The sequence below is a fragment of the Homo sapiens genome, chromosome 11 (genome assembly GCF_000001405.40).
Source record: "Homo sapiens chromosome 11, GRCh38.p14 Primary Assembly".
In the NCBI taxonomy this organism is placed as follows: Eukaryota; Metazoa; Chordata; class Mammalia; order Primates; family Hominidae; genus Homo; species Homo sapiens.
Window position 1 is genome coordinate 117,554,507 of NC_000011.10, and position 18,769 is coordinate 117,573,275.

At 48.9% G+C, this 18,769-nt stretch overlaps 1 protein-coding gene across 5 annotated transcripts in view, besides 4 other annotated features; it reads right to left on the reverse strand.

The window, feature by feature from the left end:
- DSCAML1 (DS cell adhesion molecule like 1) overlaps positions 1-18,769 on the reverse strand; it is a 389,743-nt gene that overhangs the window by 126,735 nt on the left and 244,239 nt on the right. The gene's annotated exons all lie outside the window — the stretch shown is intronic.
- Positions 2,482-3,354: an enhancer, noted in NCBI's record as "H3K4me1 hESC enhancer chr11:117427703-117428575 (GRCh37/hg19 assembly coordinates)". NCBI's record gives its function as "activates a minimal SCP1, AML or CMV promoter by ChIP-STARR-seq in naive H9 embryonic stem cells {active_cell/tissue: H9 hESC(naive)}" and the evidence as "EXISTENCE:reporter gene assay evidence [ECO:0000049][PMID:30033119]".
- Positions 3,355-4,226: an enhancer, noted in NCBI's record as "H3K4me1 hESC enhancer chr11:117428576-117429447 (GRCh37/hg19 assembly coordinates)". NCBI's record gives its function as "activates a minimal SCP1, AML or CMV promoter by ChIP-STARR-seq in primed H9 embryonic stem cells {active_cell/tissue: H9 hESC(primed)}" and the evidence as "EXISTENCE:reporter gene assay evidence [ECO:0000049][PMID:30033119]".
- Positions 4,851-5,351: an enhancer, noted in NCBI's record as "H3K4me1 hESC enhancer chr11:117430072-117430572 (GRCh37/hg19 assembly coordinates)". NCBI's record gives its function as "activates a minimal SCP1, AML or CMV promoter by ChIP-STARR-seq in naive H9 embryonic stem cells {active_cell/tissue: H9 hESC(naive)}" and the evidence as "EXISTENCE:reporter gene assay evidence [ECO:0000049][PMID:30033119]".
- Positions 5,352-5,852: an enhancer, noted in NCBI's record as "H3K4me1 hESC enhancer chr11:117430573-117431073 (GRCh37/hg19 assembly coordinates)". NCBI's record gives its function as "activates a minimal SCP1, AML or CMV promoter by ChIP-STARR-seq in naive H9 embryonic stem cells {active_cell/tissue: H9 hESC(naive)}" and the evidence as "EXISTENCE:reporter gene assay evidence [ECO:0000049][PMID:30033119]".

Here is an 18,769-nt window from a genome sequence, read left to right on the forward strand (position 1 = left end):
GCTGGGACTACAGGTGGGAACAACCACACCTGGCTAATTTTTGTATTTTTAGTAGAGACGGAGTTTCACCATGTTGACCAGGCTGGTCTCGAACTCCTGACCTCAAGTGAACCACCTGCCTTGGCCTACCAAAGTGCTGGGATTATAGGTGTGAGCCACCGCGCCCGGCCTGGCACAAACATTTTAAACATTGTCCTGCCTCCTTTTTTCCTGCTGGAAAGTGAGGCTCAGAAGTGCAGCTGTGTTGCAATCATGAGGATGGCAGAGCAGGAAGGGAACAGGAGCCTGATCTCCTGGGTCAGCCCTGAACTGCCAGTCCCCAGACTCCTTGTTAGACAAGAAAAACAGGTCTCTAATTTGGCCACGCTGTTGTGGAGGGTTTTCGTTACATACAGCCAAATGCAGTTCTAATGGAGACAGTACCCAAACTCATCCCCTCTGACTGCTTCCACGTCCCCTGCCTCTTCTCTACCATCTTCTCACATGATGGCACCTTGCATCTCCTGTAGACCCCACACTCTGTGCCTCTGCTCATGCTGGGCCCCCTGCATGGCCCCTCTTCCTTCTGAGCTGCTTCCTTTTTTTGGCCAGACAGCTTCTTCCATGGCCTTTGCACTCAGGTGGGGCATTGCCCTGGATGGGTGTGTTACCCCATGTCTGGGCTCCCGTAGCAACCCATGGCCACCTCTCTCATACTATTTATCACCTTTCTTAAGATTGGGTATTTCATGCCAGCTCTCTGCTAGACAGAAGCTCCTTGAAGGTCAAGATCTTGTTCAGATCTGGACCCCTGGTGCCTGTGTATCAGGCAGATGGCAAGTGCTCAGTAATGATGGGTTGACTAGAACTCTTCTGACCTCCAGGGGCTCAGGATCTGCGGAGGTGGATACAGACCCAGAAACAAACTCCCTGACAGGAGGAGCTCAAGGTGCGCAGGGAGCCCAGAGGATGAAGTGACCGCTGTCTCTGGGAGAGTCAGGGAAGGTGTCACAGAGGAGGTTGCAGTTGAGCTGGGTCCTGAAGGACACGTGTGTCTTCTCTCCCAGTTTGGGAGTGAGGTGATGTATTGGAAGTGAAGGCCACATCATATGCAAAGGTGTTAAGGCAGGAAAGGGCAGGGAGCATCTGGGAAGCAGGGATGCACGGGGCAGGGAGAGCAGGGGTTTGGCGGGTGATGAATTAGACACCACAGGGCCTGAGTGTGAAGACTTGAGTGACCAGAGAGGAGCCTGCCTTTTAGCCTGTGCATAGGTGGTGGCTGAGGGCTTTCAGCAGAGGGAGAGAGGGTCATGCTGGGCCCTACAGACATGGCAGCTTAACTATGGTGATCAGCTCTGATTCATGGAAAGCCCTCTCCTGCAGAGTATGGAGGGGGCTCTGAATGGAGTGAGGTTGGCAGCAGGAAGCCAGGGGGGAGCTTATTCCAAGGGTCCTTGAGGAGGGGCGGGGGAGGAGGGGGAAGAGAAGGTGGAGGAGGAGGGTAGGATGTGCAGCAGATTCTGCAGTTGCACTGTCTGGGGCCAAGGTCTGGCTCTGCCACTTATTGATGTCAGTTTCCAATTCCTCTGTGCCCCAGTTTCCACATTTGTAAAAGGAGGTTAATCCCAGCACCAATCTCAGAGGCGCGTTATGAGAATTACAGGAGATGAAGCATTATGAAGTGATCAGCATGGGGCCTGGCACACAGAAAGAGCTCAGTGACCCTGCAGGGAGATGGGGAGAAGGGACATCCTCAGTTCTGGCTGGAGCTGAGGGGTCAGTTGGGGGCTACAGGAGGTCCAGCAGGTACAGACTGTGGGCTGCATGGTGCAGGCTTTGAATGCCGGGGCAAGGGGCTCTAGCTCATCTGATGGGCCACAGAGGGCCACAGAAGGTTTCTGGAGGGGAGAAGGGTGTTACAAGGATGAACTAGGTTATATTTACAGAGACAGAGAGAAAGAAACTGGAGACCCTTTCCTTTCTCGACTCACAGGTGTCAATCTAAATCTTGTCCAGTTAATCTAAATCTTTTCCAGTTAATTTCTCTCACCCTGCTAGTGGGCCTGAAGGAAGCAGGCAGAGGGGTGGTGGAAAAAGGTGAAGACAAAGATGCATCCCATGGACCTACCCTACGTGAGATACCACCTGACCCCAGGGCCCTGGAAGTGGGGACTCGGTCTGATGGTACAGCTATGCCCCAGTATGGCCTCATCATTGCTGACCACTGAAGAGATGGGTGTAACCATGTCCTTGGCCTCCCAGTGAGGGTCAAAGGCCCAGAGAAGTCAGCTTGTCCAGTGGGACTTCAAGGGCACTAGGGAAGGGCTGGCGACCTTATGTAGCCATCCATCTAGATTCTAGAAGCTTCACCGCCGACATGCCCACATCTTCTTAGCTGCAGTATGAATCCCTTTTTGTTGGATTAAATTGGTCTGGTGGGGTGGAGGATGCTAGTAAAGCGGTGGCACATTAGCATCTCACCAGTGAGAGGGGAGCAATGCCCTCTCCTGGAGATGGATGCAGGGAAGGGACAGTCCACACAGGACCAGGCAGGATGCACGTTGGGCTAGATCTTGGGTGAGGGATCTTTCCAATAGCCATAAAGGGATTCTTCTGAGCACTTCATGGTGATGCTGAAGGAATTTAAGATGCCCGTAGTTAGTCTATGAGAGTCAGGTGTCATGAGTGGGAGGTTAAGCAGGTGGGGGACTTGCAGGAAGAAGGTGCAGAGGCAGTGTGGCAGGGGAGGCTCTGACTTAGAGAAAGAAGGTGACCTCTCAGGATTAGGCTGAAAACACTTAATACCAGTCTGGGCTGCTTCCCTGGAAGAGACGTGGGGCTCTGAAGCCCTAAGGTGCAGGAAAGAAGGCTCCACCCTGCTCTCCACCTTCTTCTGTGCCTTTGAAGAGCATGGAGTTTCCCCAGCCCCCCTCCTGACCACCGTCCCTGGAGGGGGTTGGGTACAGTGGGAGCTGGGTAGAAAGCGAGCCGCAGCTTCCCAGGAGTCCCTGCCCGCCTCACTCGAGCCCCTCTTCCTGCCTTTCATCTGAGCAGAAAACAAGGGAGAGGCCCCAGGCGTCAGCAAAGCATTTCACTGTGTGCAATTTGCATTTTCTGTCTCCATCTTGAGCAGCTCTGGCTTTGGGTAGCCGGAAGAAAGAGCAGCTGTTCCAGCTGCAGAAGGTGCTTAGTCCAGTGTGGGCTATAAAGTGCCACTTGGCTGTGGGGTGATCAGGAGGGAGGCAGTGAGAAGGAACAAAGCAAGGGAGCAGGGATGGGGTGGGGAAAAAGCGGGCTGAGGCTTTAGGGGCCTAGATCTATCTAGGGTGTAGATCTAGGGCCATGGTTCTCAACGAGGGGTGATTTTCGCCCCTTAGGAGACATATGGCAATGTGTGGAGGCATTTTTGGTTGTCATGACTGGGTGTGAGGAGAGAGCAGTTGCTTCTAGCATCTAGTGGGTAAAGGCCAGGGACACTGCTAAATATCCTACAAGCCCGGGATAGCAACCACAACAGAGAATGATCAGGTCCAAAATGTCAATGATGGACATTTCCCACCAGGACTGGGAACCCTGGTGGCAGGATCAGAGGAGAGGGACAAAAAGCAGAAAAGACGGGGATGGGCGATGAGGTTTAGCCAGTGTCTCCCAGGCACAGGGCAGTGCCGGGTGCCATAGAGGCAACAAAAGAAGCAGTGGGCATGTAGCTGTGGGCAAACTGAGAAGCTGCTGCCAGCACCTACAGGCACCACAGATCCATGAAATTTCACGAAACGTGAGCAAGTGAGGTGGAGCGGGGACCCTTAAGGGCCTGCCAGGGTCCCCCAAAACATGGAAATAAAGGAAAATCTTGAGTCCCTTCCAGGGAAATTCCAGGCACCTTACTAGCCCTGAGAAGTAAATGAGCAACCAGAGAAGCAAGAAGATAATAAAACAATAGCCACCCAAGGAAGTTGGAGCCACGAGATGTTCAGTTACCTATAGAAACCAAAGATAATGGCTGGGCACGGTGGCTCACGCCTGTAATTCCAACACTTTGGGAAGCTGAGGAGGGTGGATTGCATGAGCCCAGGAGCTCAACACCAGCCTGGGCAACATGGAAAAACCCCGTCTCTATGTGTAGCAGGACGAGTCACAGACAAAACTCCTCAGACACTGGATTAAAGAAGGAAGAGGTTTTTATTTGGCTGGGAGCATCGGCAGACTCGCGTCTTAAGAGCCAAGCTCCCCGAAAAAGAAATTCCTAGCCCTTTTAAGGGCTTACAACTCTAAGGGGTCCACGTGAAAGGGTCATAATAGATCAAGTAAGCGTGAGGAAGGTGACTGGGGGCTACATACATCAGCTAACAGAACAAAAATTTTACAGTGCTTTCTCATACAATGTCTGGAATTTACAGATAACACCAGTAGTTTTGGTCAGGGGTTAATTTTATTATTATTATTTTAATCACCAGGGCCAGGTGGTGGTGCCAAGGTCGTCTAGCTATTTATCTTACTTCTGTCTCTTTCCAACTTTTGGCTTTCTCCCTTTTCTCCTGTCTTATAAACTAGGGAAAAGGGGAGGTTGGGGAGAAGTTGGGAAGGACAACAGACGTGGTGGTCTCCTTCCATATATGGGGAAAAAAAGAAAAAGAAAGACAGAAAAACAGACACAAAGAAAGAAAGAAAAGAAAGACACCAGAGATAACATCTTAATATTCAGAAACCCAGACCCAAACCCAATGGAAAATGCCGACCGCCATCATGTACAGCTCAGGTAAGGGGACACTGAGGACTGAACTCCAGCCGGTCTTTCTGAGTCCCTTCCTGAGGGGACTGGGGAGAGTCATGCCCTCAGGCCAAATCTTCACATTCCTTGTCACTGACCCCGAGTTTTTAGACAAAGCCTCACTTTCGTAACCAACTGCAAATTTAAAAATCTCTAAATCCACCTGTGACCTCTAAGCCCTGCACTTCAATATATCTCACCTTTTTGTGCCAAACCCATGTATGACCTTGCACTATGTATGGATTTATGATTTTTGCCTGTAACTCCTGCTTTTCTGAAATGTACCCTTCCTTTATAAGCCCTTGCTTGTAAGCCATCAGGGAGTTTGTCTGATTCTTGTTTGGTGCCCCGCAATACGTGCCTTTTATCCCCCCTCTCGTTGCAAATCTCAGCATCAGTGTTTGGCTTTGCTGAGCCAGGCAGGCAGACCCAAGTTTGGCTTGGTGGCATGAAGAGGCGCTCTTCAGACCACAGGTGTCCCTGGGCTGAAGAAGGGGCAGAGAGCTCCCACTGGAGAAGGAGGGGAGAATGTCTACAGAGAGACCCTCGCCCAGGGCACGGAAGCCACAGCAGGGCTCACCACTCAGGTGTCGGGATGTCAGGCTGGCTGGGGTGAGAGGGAGGGTGGGATACAGGAAGGAAGGGCCTAGAGTTGGGGGGAGGGGCAAAGGGCTAGGTAGGAAGAAGCCAAAGGGGGAAAGTCCTGCCCCAAACCCAGAGAAGCTCCAGCCCCCTGCCCAGAGCTCCTTGGGTGAGTTCCCCAAGTGAATTTAGACAGGCCCGGCTGCTGGGAGGGGTGGGGGCAGGATGAGGGTGTGATGGGGCATTGAAGTGGGCTTCTCCCTTGAAAGAAAGGGGGGGCCACTTTGACCAGGGACACAGTGAAGAATTTAAGGGCTGGAAAGGTCTGCATTTTATTAGTGATGGTGATGATGGAAATAATAATAGCTCTAAATCCAGCCACCATTTGTTGAGTGCCTACTTTGTCCAGGTACTATGCTACGGTTTTGGATACAGTATCTTATTTAATCAGCACAGCAACTTCAGGAGGTGCGCCACTAAGCCCAGAGGGATGAGTTGATGTCTCAAGCTGTCCAGAAACAGCCCTGTAGCCACTGCAGTCCCCTTCTCTACTGTCATATCCTCATTGTATTTTACACTGGTGCTTTCAAACCCTTCTCATTTGATTTGCGTATTGCTCCATTCAAGTAGACCAGGTGAGAGTTGATAATCCTATTTTACATGTAAGAAACTGAGGACAGACAGTTAACTCACGGGAAAGCCAGACTCAGAACCCAGCCTTTTGACTCCTAGCCAAGGCTCTCTCTGGGACCTTGTTAGGACCTGGGGCAGGCAAACCTCATGGCTTTGCTTCTGTACCTGCCTCTTGCCAGGGTGGCAGAAATCTAGCTCCTGTGCAAGTTTCCTGAGTCCCTGGGAGATGCCCCTGAGACTCAGAGTGTCAGAGAAAAATTGGCATAACATCCTGCCTGCCCATCCCTGTTTTAGGGGCAATGGTTTTCATCCTGTGCCCCCCACACCCCTTCTCCCCCACTGCCCATTCCCTCCAACAGCTTTACTTCTTACTGTAAAATTAATCATCATTGTATTGCATAATTAATGAGGCAGTAACAGGAAATGTCTAACCAAGCTTAACTCCCCACCCTGGTGGGGCCTGGACCAAGAGCTCTCCTGAGGGCGGGGCTCCAGGGCTGCCAGATGGGTTTCAGGGATAGAGATGGAGGGCGGGTGCTGGGGCCCCTGGGCACAGCCATTATTGGCAGGTGAGCAGGAGAGCTCAGGCTGCAGGGGCAGACCCCTCCCCAGGCTGTTGTGGACACAGAGTTTATTGGTGAACATGTCTGTGCCTCTGGGCAGCACTGGAGCACCTGGTGAGGAAGGCAGGCTCTCCTCTTCTCAGCAGGGCAGTGGGAGGAGGACCTGTGTCTTCTCCCTCTTGCATCTTCAGATCCCTCCCTAATGGGAGGTGAGGCTGCAGCCCAGGGCAGTGAGCACTGGACAATGAGTCTGGAGACCTGAGTTCTAACCAGTTCCACAGTGACACCGCACAAGCTGCTTCCTGTCTCTGAGTTTTGGCCTCTTTGTCCAAAATGAGAAGTTGTGCCAGATGACTCTTCAGACCTCGCTCTGTGATTCTGCCACTCCTGCACTTAAAATCCTGCAGCAGCTCTGTGCGGCTATGGGGATGAAATCTGCACATGCTACAGTTCTGTGGGGCTGCTCCAGTCATGTCTCCAAGCATCCTCCTGCCCCTTGCCTTGCTCCATCCACCCAGAACCTCTTCCTATAGCGCCCCTTGTTCTCCTCTCCTCTCCTCTCCTCTGGGCCTTTGCATGTGCAGGTCCCTCTGCCTGTGATGGTCTGGGTCTGTTTCCTACTCTACCCAGCCCCTAGGTTAACAACTTATCTTCACGTTCTAGCTCAGCTTTACTTCTACTGAAAAGCCCTTGGAGGTCACTCAGGAAGGGCAGGATGCCCCTCGTACTAGCCCCAGAATGCCCTGGGCTTACTGCATGAACGGCATTGCAACTGCCACTTATGTATTCATCTCCCCATTAAGGCACATGCTCCCAGAGTACAGCGTCAGGTCTGCTTTGACTCCAGCTGTTTCCTCAGCACCTTCCACAATGCCTGGCACCAATAGTCAACTGGTAGATGTGGCATGAATAAATGATTGCATACAGCAATTCTATGAGCATAGAAGTCCAGGAGGAACATGTTGGAGGAGTGGGGACAGTGGGAAGCAGGGGCAGGGAGGAGGCGTAGACTCACAGCCTCTGCTGCAGAGACAGTGTTGAGAGGGAATAGGGTGTCACAGACTCCTGATGCCCCTTGGTTCAGAGGGGCAGGCTTTCTGGGGCTCTGGGTCTGACCCAGCACTGAGGGCCAGCTGCTAGGGGCATGGAAGTGGCCCTCTAAGATTCTGTCCTGCCATGTGGAGTCTGAGGAGCTCAAGCTCCAGTTACTGACGCACTGTGGGTCCCAAGGGAGCCCCCCAAGCCTCTCATATGCCTGCCTCCTAGGATGGGCTGCTCCCATACACACAACAACACCCCCTCTCTCTAGGGACTGGACTCCAGGGCTCCTCGCCAGGGTGTGTGTGCCAGCCCCATGCAAGTGCCACGTCTTCTGTGTGCCTTTCCAGATCCCCTTGGAATCATTTCTTGCTTCCAGCTCCCACAGCATGTGACATGTGACTCGCATCAGATGTGTTTAACCCCACTTTGTGAGTGGCACCGAAACGACATGTGGGTCTCCTTGGCTGCAGGGCAAGTTTTCTGAGGCCCAAGGTTAAAGAAGCATGAGTCACCAGAAACTGGTGGGATCTAACAGACTTGGGCTTGAACACTAGTTCTTGGCCAGTAGCTCACAGAGTAGGCACCTTGTGAATGAATGAATGAACAAATGAATGAACGAATGAAGGTGCTTAACTTTTCTCCTCAGTTCCTTCTTTCTTTCCTTGTTTTTCTTTTTCTGTTTTGAGACAGACTCTGTTGCCCAGGCTGGAATGCAGTGGTGCCATCTTGGCTCACTGCAACCTCCATCTCCCGGGTTCAAGTGGTTCTCCTGCCTCAGCCTCCTGAGTAGCTGGGATTACAGGTGTGCTACACCACACCCTGCTATCAGTTCCTTCTTTCTAAAGTGGAGGCAATCATATCTATTTTATAAGGATGTTGGAAGGCTTGCTGACACTGTCTGGAAGGATCTGATGCAGAAAATTCAAGGTTATTATTACAATCACTCATTGACGTGCCCCCGTTCCAGCCTCCCATCCTAGCCAACTGCTTGCTGAAATGAAGTGAACGCCAAGAGCAGTCACTGCAGCACCAAGGCCATTTCCTAGTGGTGTCTCACCCACCCAATAGCTGGTCCTGGAGTGGAGGGTGCTTGTAGCTGACTCTGGGGCAGGTTGTCTTTTATTTAATGTGTTTATTTCTTGCATATAGGAAGAAAGTTGGGATATTCAGCAAAGACGGGATAAAGGAAAGAGAGAGGGGAAATAAATCCCAAAGAACAGCTGAGAACCAGATGAAATGGATGACACGGCAGCACGCATGGTGCTGGGTCAGCTCAGCTTGGCCCTCCAGTTCCCCAGCTCTCCAGGCTTGCTTAAATATGGAACCTGGGCAGAGGCTAGGAAGAACTGGGATGGAGAAGTCAGGGGCCAGCTGCATTTTTAAAAAGCTGACAAAAGCCCCTCTGCTTGTGAAGGTTCTACTTCCACGCTTTCATAGATGTAAAGGAAGCTCCGTGCCAGAGGGAATCACACGTTCACCTGTCATTAGGCCTTGTTCCCCATGTGGTGTGTCTATCATGTGTTTGCTGAGTTTGTGCCTACTTTGTGACCATTGCATTCACTTTCTCTTGTTTGGAAAATGTAAAAGCATTCAGTGTTGTAAGTGGTGGGGAGAAGACGAGAACTATTATAATGGACCTCAAAGCGGAATTGATTGAGAAAATAGACCAGTGTTGTACTGCTTCTCTATGGGACGAGCCGTGTGACAGCGAGGACCATTCTGAGGGCAGATTTGCACAACATACGACATGTGAAAAGGGCTGGGCTAGGCCTGTGCACCCTGGCAATGGAAGGAAGACATGAGGAGAAATGATGGATGAAATGGATGATGCACTCTGTGGGCTTCTCTGCATCTGTGACGGGTGCCAGTCTAACTAGGAGATCAAAGCCTGAGCAAGGAGAGGTGGTGAAAGTGCCAAGAAGGCTGCAAGTGCCAAGGGCGTAGTGGCCCAGGAGTTCCCAGGGGCCCACTAGTGGAGTTCACCGAGGTGGAGGGTTCCCTGCCACATAGTTTTCCATGTCACCAAGCAGTTCTATTTTTGGGAAAAGATGTCTGTTTAACACTGTATCCGCAAGAGGGAAAAGTGTAAGCTTGGTTTAAAGCTTCAGAGGACTGACTCACACTCCTGTTTCATAGAAATGTACCAGGGTATGGCAACTTAAACCTCTGCTGGTCTCTTTGGACTGATGAGTAGTATCTGGGCCAACTCATTGCCTTCCGAGATGGAATCCATTTCTCTACCTTGTGCAGAGACACTCTTCTTTGAACACGTTGAGAAGCACTCCCTAGCCTTTGTTATTGTTTTTATTCACCAGAGAACACACAGCTCTCAAGAGGCCAAAGGGACATTGCTCTGCTCTGGAACAATCATCCGCAATCAATAGGCCTTGCAGGTCCCGGCGATTCTCCTGCTGCAGCTGCTCTGGCTTCTTTGCTGCCCCTGAACATGCAAAGCACCCTCCTGCCTCAGACCTCTGCTCTTGCTGGTCCCTCTGCTGGGAGGCTCTGCCTGGGTCTCTGCTGCTCACTCCTTGCCTCCCTCAAGGCTCTGCTCAAACCTCTCTCTCTCTCTTTCTTTCTTTCTTTTTCTTTCCTTCCTCCTTCCTTCCTTCCTTCCTATCCTTCCTTCCTTTCTTCCTTCTTTCCTTTCCTTCCTTCTTTCCTTCTCTTTCTTCTCTCTCTCTCTTTCTTTCTTTCTTTCTTCTTTCTTTTTGATGGAGTCTCGCTCTGTCACCCAGGTTGGAGTGCAGTGGTGCGATCTCGGCTCACTGCAACCTCCACCTCCTGGGTTCAAGCGATTCCACTGCCTCAGCCTCCCAAGTAGCTGAGATTATAGGTGTCTGCCACCATACCCAGCTAATTTTTGTATTTTTAGTAGAGACGGGGTTTCACCATGTTGGTCAGGCTGGTCTTGAACTCCTGACCTCAGGTGATCTGCCCACCTCGGCCTCCCAAAGTGTTGGGATTAACAGGCATGAGCCACTGTGCCCGGCCAAACCTCACTTTCAATGACGACCTGACCACCTGTTCAGTGCTGCATCCCGCCCCTCCCCTGCCCTTCTCACCTGCTTTTTTCTGCTCTGCTTTCTCCTTAGTATTTCTTCTGTTTTAAAAATCAATGTGTACTAAAGGTACATCGTTTTGGGGGTACATGTGATAATTTAATACATTCATAAAATTTGTAAAGATCAGATCAGTGAATTGAGGATATTCATCACCTTGAATATTTGTCTTTTCTTTATGTCAGAAACAGTTGAATGTTTCTCTTCTAGCTATTCTGAAATATACAATGGATTACTGTAAACTCCAGTGACCCTATTGATCTATATCTAACACTAGGTCTTATTTCTTCTCTCAAACCGTGTATTTGTACCTATGCCCCTTAGCATTTCTGACGTGGCATTGATACACAAACACAGTATCTAATTTACTTGTTTATTATGACTCATTGTCTGTCTCTTCCTGCTGGATCATAAGCCCCATGAGGGCAGGGATCTTTGTTATTCCACTGCTCTATCCTAAGATCCTGGATGAGTGTCTGCCACACAGAAGGGGCTCCATGTGGGTGGCAGGAAATGGCTTCACCATGCCCCCATCCCCTGTGCTTAGGCCCACTGTCTCACCTTTTTGGTGTTTTTTTCCCCCTCTCCCTCAGCACTCAGCTGGCTACAGGCTGTTTGTGTCTCTGGCCCAGGCTGCCCTCTAGGTGTGACAGATGCATGGCCAGGCTCACTCAGAGCTTGATGGCGGCGGAAGACTGAGTAGGGGGTGTGACCAGATCAGGGACGGTGCAGACCCTGTCCTCTGCATGCCAAAGCTCAAAGCCACACAGCAGGCTCATTCTGAGATGGGCAGATATCTCTTGGACAACTGTCTCCCCCCTCCCTCACTGTCATCTCCGTGACAAAGTGGGGCCTGAGGACTGGTAGCCTAAGCCAGGTTCTCAGAGCTCATGCTGATCTTAGATAACATTTGTAAGCACTGGCCATGGGTTGGGCACTTCATGCAGACTATGCCATTTTATCCTCCTGCAATCCTCCCAGTTAATTGTTATCATTATCACCATCATCATCTCTGTTTAATAGATGAGGGGACGGAGACCTATAGAGTGACTTGTACAAAATTAGAGAGCTGGTCCTGTGACAGAAGTCAGGCTACCCTCCACCCTCTGCATAAATTGTACAGACAAAACAGAAGCTCAGGTCTGTTGATTTCAAACCCTACATCCTTTCTTTTCTTTCTGTCTCTCTTTCTCCCTTTCTTTTCTTTCTCTCTCTCTCTCTCTTTTTTTTTTTTCTAGGGCCTTGCTCTGTTACCCAGGCTGGAGTGCAGTGGTGCAATCACCGCTCACTGCAACCTCTGCTTCCTGGGCTCAGGCGATCCTCCCACCTCAGCTTTGTGATTAGCTGAGACCACAGGTGACACCCACCATGCCCAGCTAACTTTTGTATTTTTTTGTAGTGATGTGATTTTTGCCTTGGTTTTTTTTTTGTTTGTTTTATTTATTTATTTATTATTATTATACTTTAAGTTTTAGGGTACATGTGCACCATGTGCAGGTTAGTTACATATGTATACATGTGCCATGCTGGTGTGCTGCACCCACTAACTCATCATCTAGCATTAGGTATATCTCCCAATGCTATCCCTCCCCACTCCCCCTACCCCACAACAGTCCCCAGAGTGTGATGTTCCCCTTCCTGTGTCCATGTGTTTTCATTGTTCAATTCCCACCTATGAGTGAGAATATGCGGTGTTTGGTTTTTTGTTCTTGCGATAGTTTACTGAGAATGATGATTTCCAATTTCATCCATGTCCCTACAAAGGACATGAACTCATCATTTTTTACGGCTGCACAGTATTCCATGGTGTATATGTGCCACATTTTCTTAATCCAGTCTATCATTGTTGGACATTTGGGTTGGTTCCAAGTCTTTGCTATTGTGAATAATGCTGCAATAAACATACATGTGCATGTATCTTTATAGCAGCAGGATTTATAGTCCTTTGGGTATATACCCAGTAATGGGATGGCTGGGTCAAATGGTATTTCTAGTTCTAGATCCCTGAGGAATCGCCACACTGACTTCCACAATGGTTGAACTAGTTTACGGTCCCACTAACAGTGTAAAAGTGTTCTTATTTCTCCACATCCTCTCCAGCACCTGTTGTTTCCTGACTTTTTAATGATTGCCATTCTAACTGGTGTGAGATGGTATCTCATTGTGGTTTTGATTTGCATTTCTCTGATGGCCAGTGATGGTGAGCATTTTTTCATGTGTTTTTTGGCTGCATAAATGTCTTCTTTTGAGAAGTGTCTGTTCATGTCCTTCACCCACTTTTTGATGGGGTGGTTTGTTTTTTTCTTGTAAATTTGTTTGAGTTCATTGTAGATTCTGGACACTAGCCCTTTGTCAGATGAGTAGGTTGTGAAAATTTTCTCCCATTTTGTAGGTTGCCTGTTCACTCTGATGGTAGTTTCTTTTGCTGTGCAGAAGCTCTTTAGAGAATACTATAAACACCTCTATGCAAATAAACTAGAAAATCTAGAAGAAATGGATAAATTCCTCGACACATACACTCTCCCAAGACTAAACCAGGAAGAAGCTGAATCTGTGAATAGACCAATAACAGGAGCTGAAATTGTGGCAATAATCAATAGCTTACCAACCAAAAAGAGTCCAGGACCAGATGGATTCACAGCCGAATTCTATCAGAGGTACAAGGAGGAACTGGTACCATTCCTTCTGAAACTATTCCAATCAATAGAAAAAGAGGGAATCCTCCCTAACTCATTTTATGAGGCCAGCATCATCCTGATACCAAAGCCGGGCAGAGACACAACCAAAAAAGAGAATTTTAGACCAATAGCCTTGATGAACATTGATGCAAAAATCCTCAATAAAATACTGGCAAACCGAATCCAGCAGCACATCAAAAAGCTTATCCACCATGATCAAGTGGGCTTCATCCCTGGGATGCAAGGCTGGTTCAATATACACAAATCAATAAATGTAATCTAGCATATAAACAGAACCAAAGACAAAAACCAAATGATTATCTCAATAAATGCAGAAAAGGCCTTTGACAAAATTCAACAACCCTTCCTGCTAAAAACTCTCAATAAATTAGGTATTGATGGGATGTATCTCAAAATAATAACAGCTATCTATGACAAACCCACAGCCAATATCATACTGAATGGGCAAAAACTGGAAGCATTCCCTTTGAAAACGGGCACAAGACAGGGATGCCCTCTCTCACCACTCCTATTCAACATAGTGTTGGAAGTTCTGGCCAGGGCAATCAGGCAGGAGAAGGAAATAAAGGGTATTCAGTTAGGAAAAGAGGAAGTCAAATTGTCCCTGTTTGCAGATGACATGATTGTATATCTAGAAAACCTCACTGTCTCAGCCCAAAATCTCCTTAAGCTGATAAGCAACTTCAGCAAAGTCTCAGGATACAAAATCAATGTACAAAAATCACAAGCATTCTTATACACCAACAACAGACAGAGAGCCAAATCATGAGTGAACTCCCATTCACAATTGCTTCAAAGAGAATAAAATACCTAGGAATCCAACTTACAAGGGACATGAACGACCTCTTCAAGGAGAACTACAAACCACTGCTCAAGGAAATAAAAGAGGATACAAACAAATGGAAGAACATTCCATGCTCACGGGTAGGAAGAATCAATATCCTGAAAATGGCCATACTGCCCAAGGTAATTTACAGATTCAATGCCATCACCATCAGGCTACCAATGACTTTCTTCAAGAATTGGAAAAAACTACTTTAAAGTTCATGTGGAACCAAAAAAGAGCCCGCATCACCAAGTCAATCCTAAGCCAAAAGAACAAAGCTGGAGGCATCACACTACCTGACTTCAAACTATACTACAAGGCTACAGTAAGCAAAACAGCATGGTACTGGTACCAAAACAGAGATATAGATCAATGGAACAGAACAGAGCCCTCAGAAATAACGCCGCATATCTACAACTATCTGATCTTTGACAAACCTGAGAAAAATAAGCAATGGGGAAAGGATTCCCTATTTAATAAATGGTGCTGGGAAAACTGGCTAGCCATATGTAGAAAGCTGAAACTGGATCCCTTCCTTACACCTTATACAAAAATCAATTCAAGATGGATTACAGACTTAAACGTTAGACCTAAAACCATAAAAACCCTAGAAGAAAACCTAGGCATTACCATTCAGGACATAGGCATGGGCAAGGACTTCATGTCTAAAACACCGAAAGCAATGGCAACCAAAGCCAAAATTGACAAATGGGATCTAATTAAACTAAAGAGCTTCTGCACAGCCTTGTTTTTGTAGAGATGGGATTTTTGTATTTCATAGAGATGGGATTTTTGTATTTTGTGTAGAGGTGGGATTTCGTCTTGTTGCCCAGGTCTCAAACTCTTGATCCTCCCACCTTGGCCTCCCAAAGTGCTGGGGTTAGAGGCATGAGCCACCCTGCCAAGCCCTGCCTACTTCCTTTCTATTACACCAAGCCACTTCCCTCATTCTGTACTACCTTGGCTAAGGTGGTGACACTTGAACTGAGATAATGCTACTGGCCACCTTTCCTCTTCCTGTAGGCTGAGTGACATTCCGTTTCCCAGACCCTCTGCAGCCAGGTAGGCTTGTGAATGCAGCTCAGTCTGACCAACAGATGCAGTTGAAATGATGAACTCACTCCAGGCCTGGCTCCCAAGGTCTCCTGCATGTTCCTCCACACTTACTCTCTTCTCCCCTTGCTGGCCACATACAGGCAATCCCAGTGGAGGGCTCTGGGCCCCTAGGAGAAAGAACGAACTGTGAAGAACAGAGCTGTTCCTGACTCTCTGGCATGGGATGTGAATGAGAAATAAACTTGTATAAGATTAAGTCATTGAGATCTTGGATCACCTACCCTGTCTAATACAACCTTGAAGGATGAGGACATGTTTGCCAGGCAAAGAAGGCACGGGAGCCTTTCTGGGAAGCAGGAACGTGTTGAGCATGTGGGAATGCGGGAATGTGTTGGGGGATGTTCAAGCTGGCTCAGCTTTCTAGAGGGGTGGGGGGATGTGAGCTAGAATGGCGGGGTCGGCTGGCGCGTCTCAGATGCTATCCTGGAGATGATGGGGTAGTTTTCGGGGTATCTCATGCCAAGGATGAACGCTTTAGATTTGAGTGTTAGGACCATTCTAGAGCATTCCTCAATACCTTTCCAAGGAATTGCAGTTCTGAGACTTGCTCATAGAACATGCCGTTCTGCTTCTCCTTAGACAGTCACAATGCATATTAACACATCAGTCCCCCTCTGTCCCTTTACTGGTTTGCTTTCTTCACAGCACTCACCATTTGAAGTTCTCTTATTTACTTGCAAATTTATTTTATACCTCCCTCTGCACTGAAATATAAGTGTCATGAGAGCATAAAACTTGTGTGTCTTATTCACCACTTATTCCAAGCAGCTAGATGAGTACTTGGCACCTAGTAGGTGCTGAATACATTTTTGGTGACTGAGCAGTTTAAGGTGACTGAGAAGTCCTGCAGCAAAGGAATACCAATCCCTTTACAATATCTATTGTGTGTGTATGCAAGACCTGTTAATATTTCCCTTGACTACCACACTTTGTGCATGCTGCCCTAGTGGCCAGTGGCAGATGGCGTGGGCCTCTGCTAATTATGTCTACCACTCAGGGGCCACTGAGGGTCATGACCCTTCACAGGGGTGGGAGTGGGAGGTCCAGCTAAGACACTAAGAAGACACTGGCCACGGCAGCTGGAACCTGGTGCTGAGGCTGAAGCCTTGTTCCTTTGAGGAGCTCAAAGACGAATCAGGATCCAGCTCTCTGCCAGCCTGGCCCCACGCCAGCTACAAGGCCAGCTTCCCACACATGGCAGCTGAGGGTAGATGCTAAGCTTTATAGATTACTCTTGGCCTCTTGCAGAACCTGTGCCTATGATGATGTTTTGCTGGGCACCAGAGAAATGATATAATGAAACTCAAACCTCATTATGGAGACGAGCAGAGCCCTGGTGGGGACGATGTCGGGAGACCAGTGCTCCAGAGGGATCACGCCTGTGCCCAGGGCCCTCTGCCTCTAGAACAAATGGTTGTGGGGGCTTGAGAAATATCCCTGGCCTGGGAGCAGAGGATTTGAGAGCAGCAAAGGGCTTTGGAGATCATCCTTATCATTGCAGTTATTGCTACAATTTACTGAGCAGCTGTCACTCTTACCCATCCTAGAGGTAGGTATTACTGTGCCCATTTCACAGAGGAGGACACTGCAGTGCAGAGAGAGGGAATGATGCTCCTGAGATCGTGGACTGAGTGAGTGAGGGGCCACGCTGGAAGGAGGAGCCCACTCTCTGGACTCTGTCCAGCACTCTGATCTGGTCTCTCTGGCCTCCTGGAGCACTAGCCTTCATCACACTGTTTTGCTGAGATTTCCGGTATTCCCAGGGGAAGAACCTGCCCTGGAGCCCAGGTGAGCTCTGTGCTAGCCTGCTGGGACCAGCTATTTGAGAGGAAGGTGAACAAGGAAGAGTGGATGCAGATGAAGGCCCTGGGTCTGGGTCCTCAGCCCGTCCTCCCCCCACCTACAGGTGTTCTCCTTTCAGAGGCATTTGAACCAGAGCAACTCCATCTTGAATAGGGGCTGGGTAAAATGAGGCTGATACCTACTGGGCTGCATTCCCAGACGGCTAAGGAATTCTAAGTCACAGGATAAGATAGGTCAGCACAAGATGAAGGTCATAAAGACCTTGCTGATAAAACAGGTTGCAGTAAAGGAGCTGGCCAAAACCCACCAAAACCAAGATGGTGATGACAGTGACCTCTGGTCGTCCTCATTGCTACACTCCCACCAGCGCCAATACAGTTTCCAATGCCATGGCAACGTCAGGAAGGTATCCTATATGGTCTAAAAAGGGGAGGCATGAATAATCCACCCCTTGTTTAGCAAATCATCAAGAAATAACCAGAAAAATGGGCAACCAGCAGCCCTTGGGGCTGCTCTGTTTATGGAATAGCCATTCTTTTATTTCTTTACTTTCCTAACAAAGTTGCTTTCACTTTATGGACTCGCCCTGAATTCTTTCTTGCACGAGATCCAAGAACCCTCTCTTGGGATCTGGATCGGGACCCCTTCCCTGTAACATTCTTGCCTTCCTCTTCTAATGAGTAAACATTTCTCACAGGGCAGAAAGCCTTTGTGGTTTTCACAAGGGTTTGCTCAGCTGTGGCCTCTCCGAGTTTCCAGCCTAGGCCTGGGAGGTGAGGAAATGTCACCCAGCTGGCTGGTGAGGAAGCCTGGAGGAAGTCAGGGTTCCTGATGTTCAACCTGGCATTTCACCACCATGATAATGAATGTGGATTACTCCTTGTGAAACTGGCTTGTGGCATTAGCCTCCCCTCCCTATCTCATTCTTCTGCCGTAGGGACTCCTTGCCCCATCCCCTTTAGTGAAGGAGTGTATCCTCCGGTCACACCAGCTCTGTTTGTAAGCTAGAACCCATGGTGGGCAAATAGTGCTCAATAAGTACTTACAGGGGAATTATTAGGGAGTCCAACATCCGGTAGGGGATTGGGGGGAGGCGGGGATATGCTATGCAAAGATCTGGTTCCCGCAAATCAGTTGAGTGAAGGCAAATGAGTCCCTGCCCTTCATTAGATAAGTGGTGGTTGATCAGGTTCTCCTCTGCCCGTTCAAGTGCAGGTATAACTAGACATGCTTCTCTCAGGCTCTGGCCCACCCTCCTGCCCTGGAGACCTCACAAGGCCAGAGAGCCCTGCTCTCTCAGAATGTGGGGTCAATCAGGCATCGCCCGGGGGCAGAGGGAGAGGAGAAGTGACCTGTAGATTGAGCCCCATCAACCTTAATGTTCATAATGGCCCTAATGGTGATAATGGTGATAACAGCACTTTCACAGTTGTTATCTTAGCTGTTCTTCATAATGGCCCTGTGAGAGAGCTATTGTTTTACCTTCCCCTTCTCCAAATGGGGAAAATGGAGCTCAAGTTTACACTGCTTCTACGTGGCACCAGCTAGCACTCGAAGCTCACACGTGTCCTGTCGTGCATTCAGAAGGTGATCTGAACACTCCAACCCCGATCTGCTACTGCTGCAGATCATACGCAGAGTACGCTGGCCGTACGCTCTCTGCAAGCTCAGGTCCAGCTTTCTAGAGACTAGAGCAG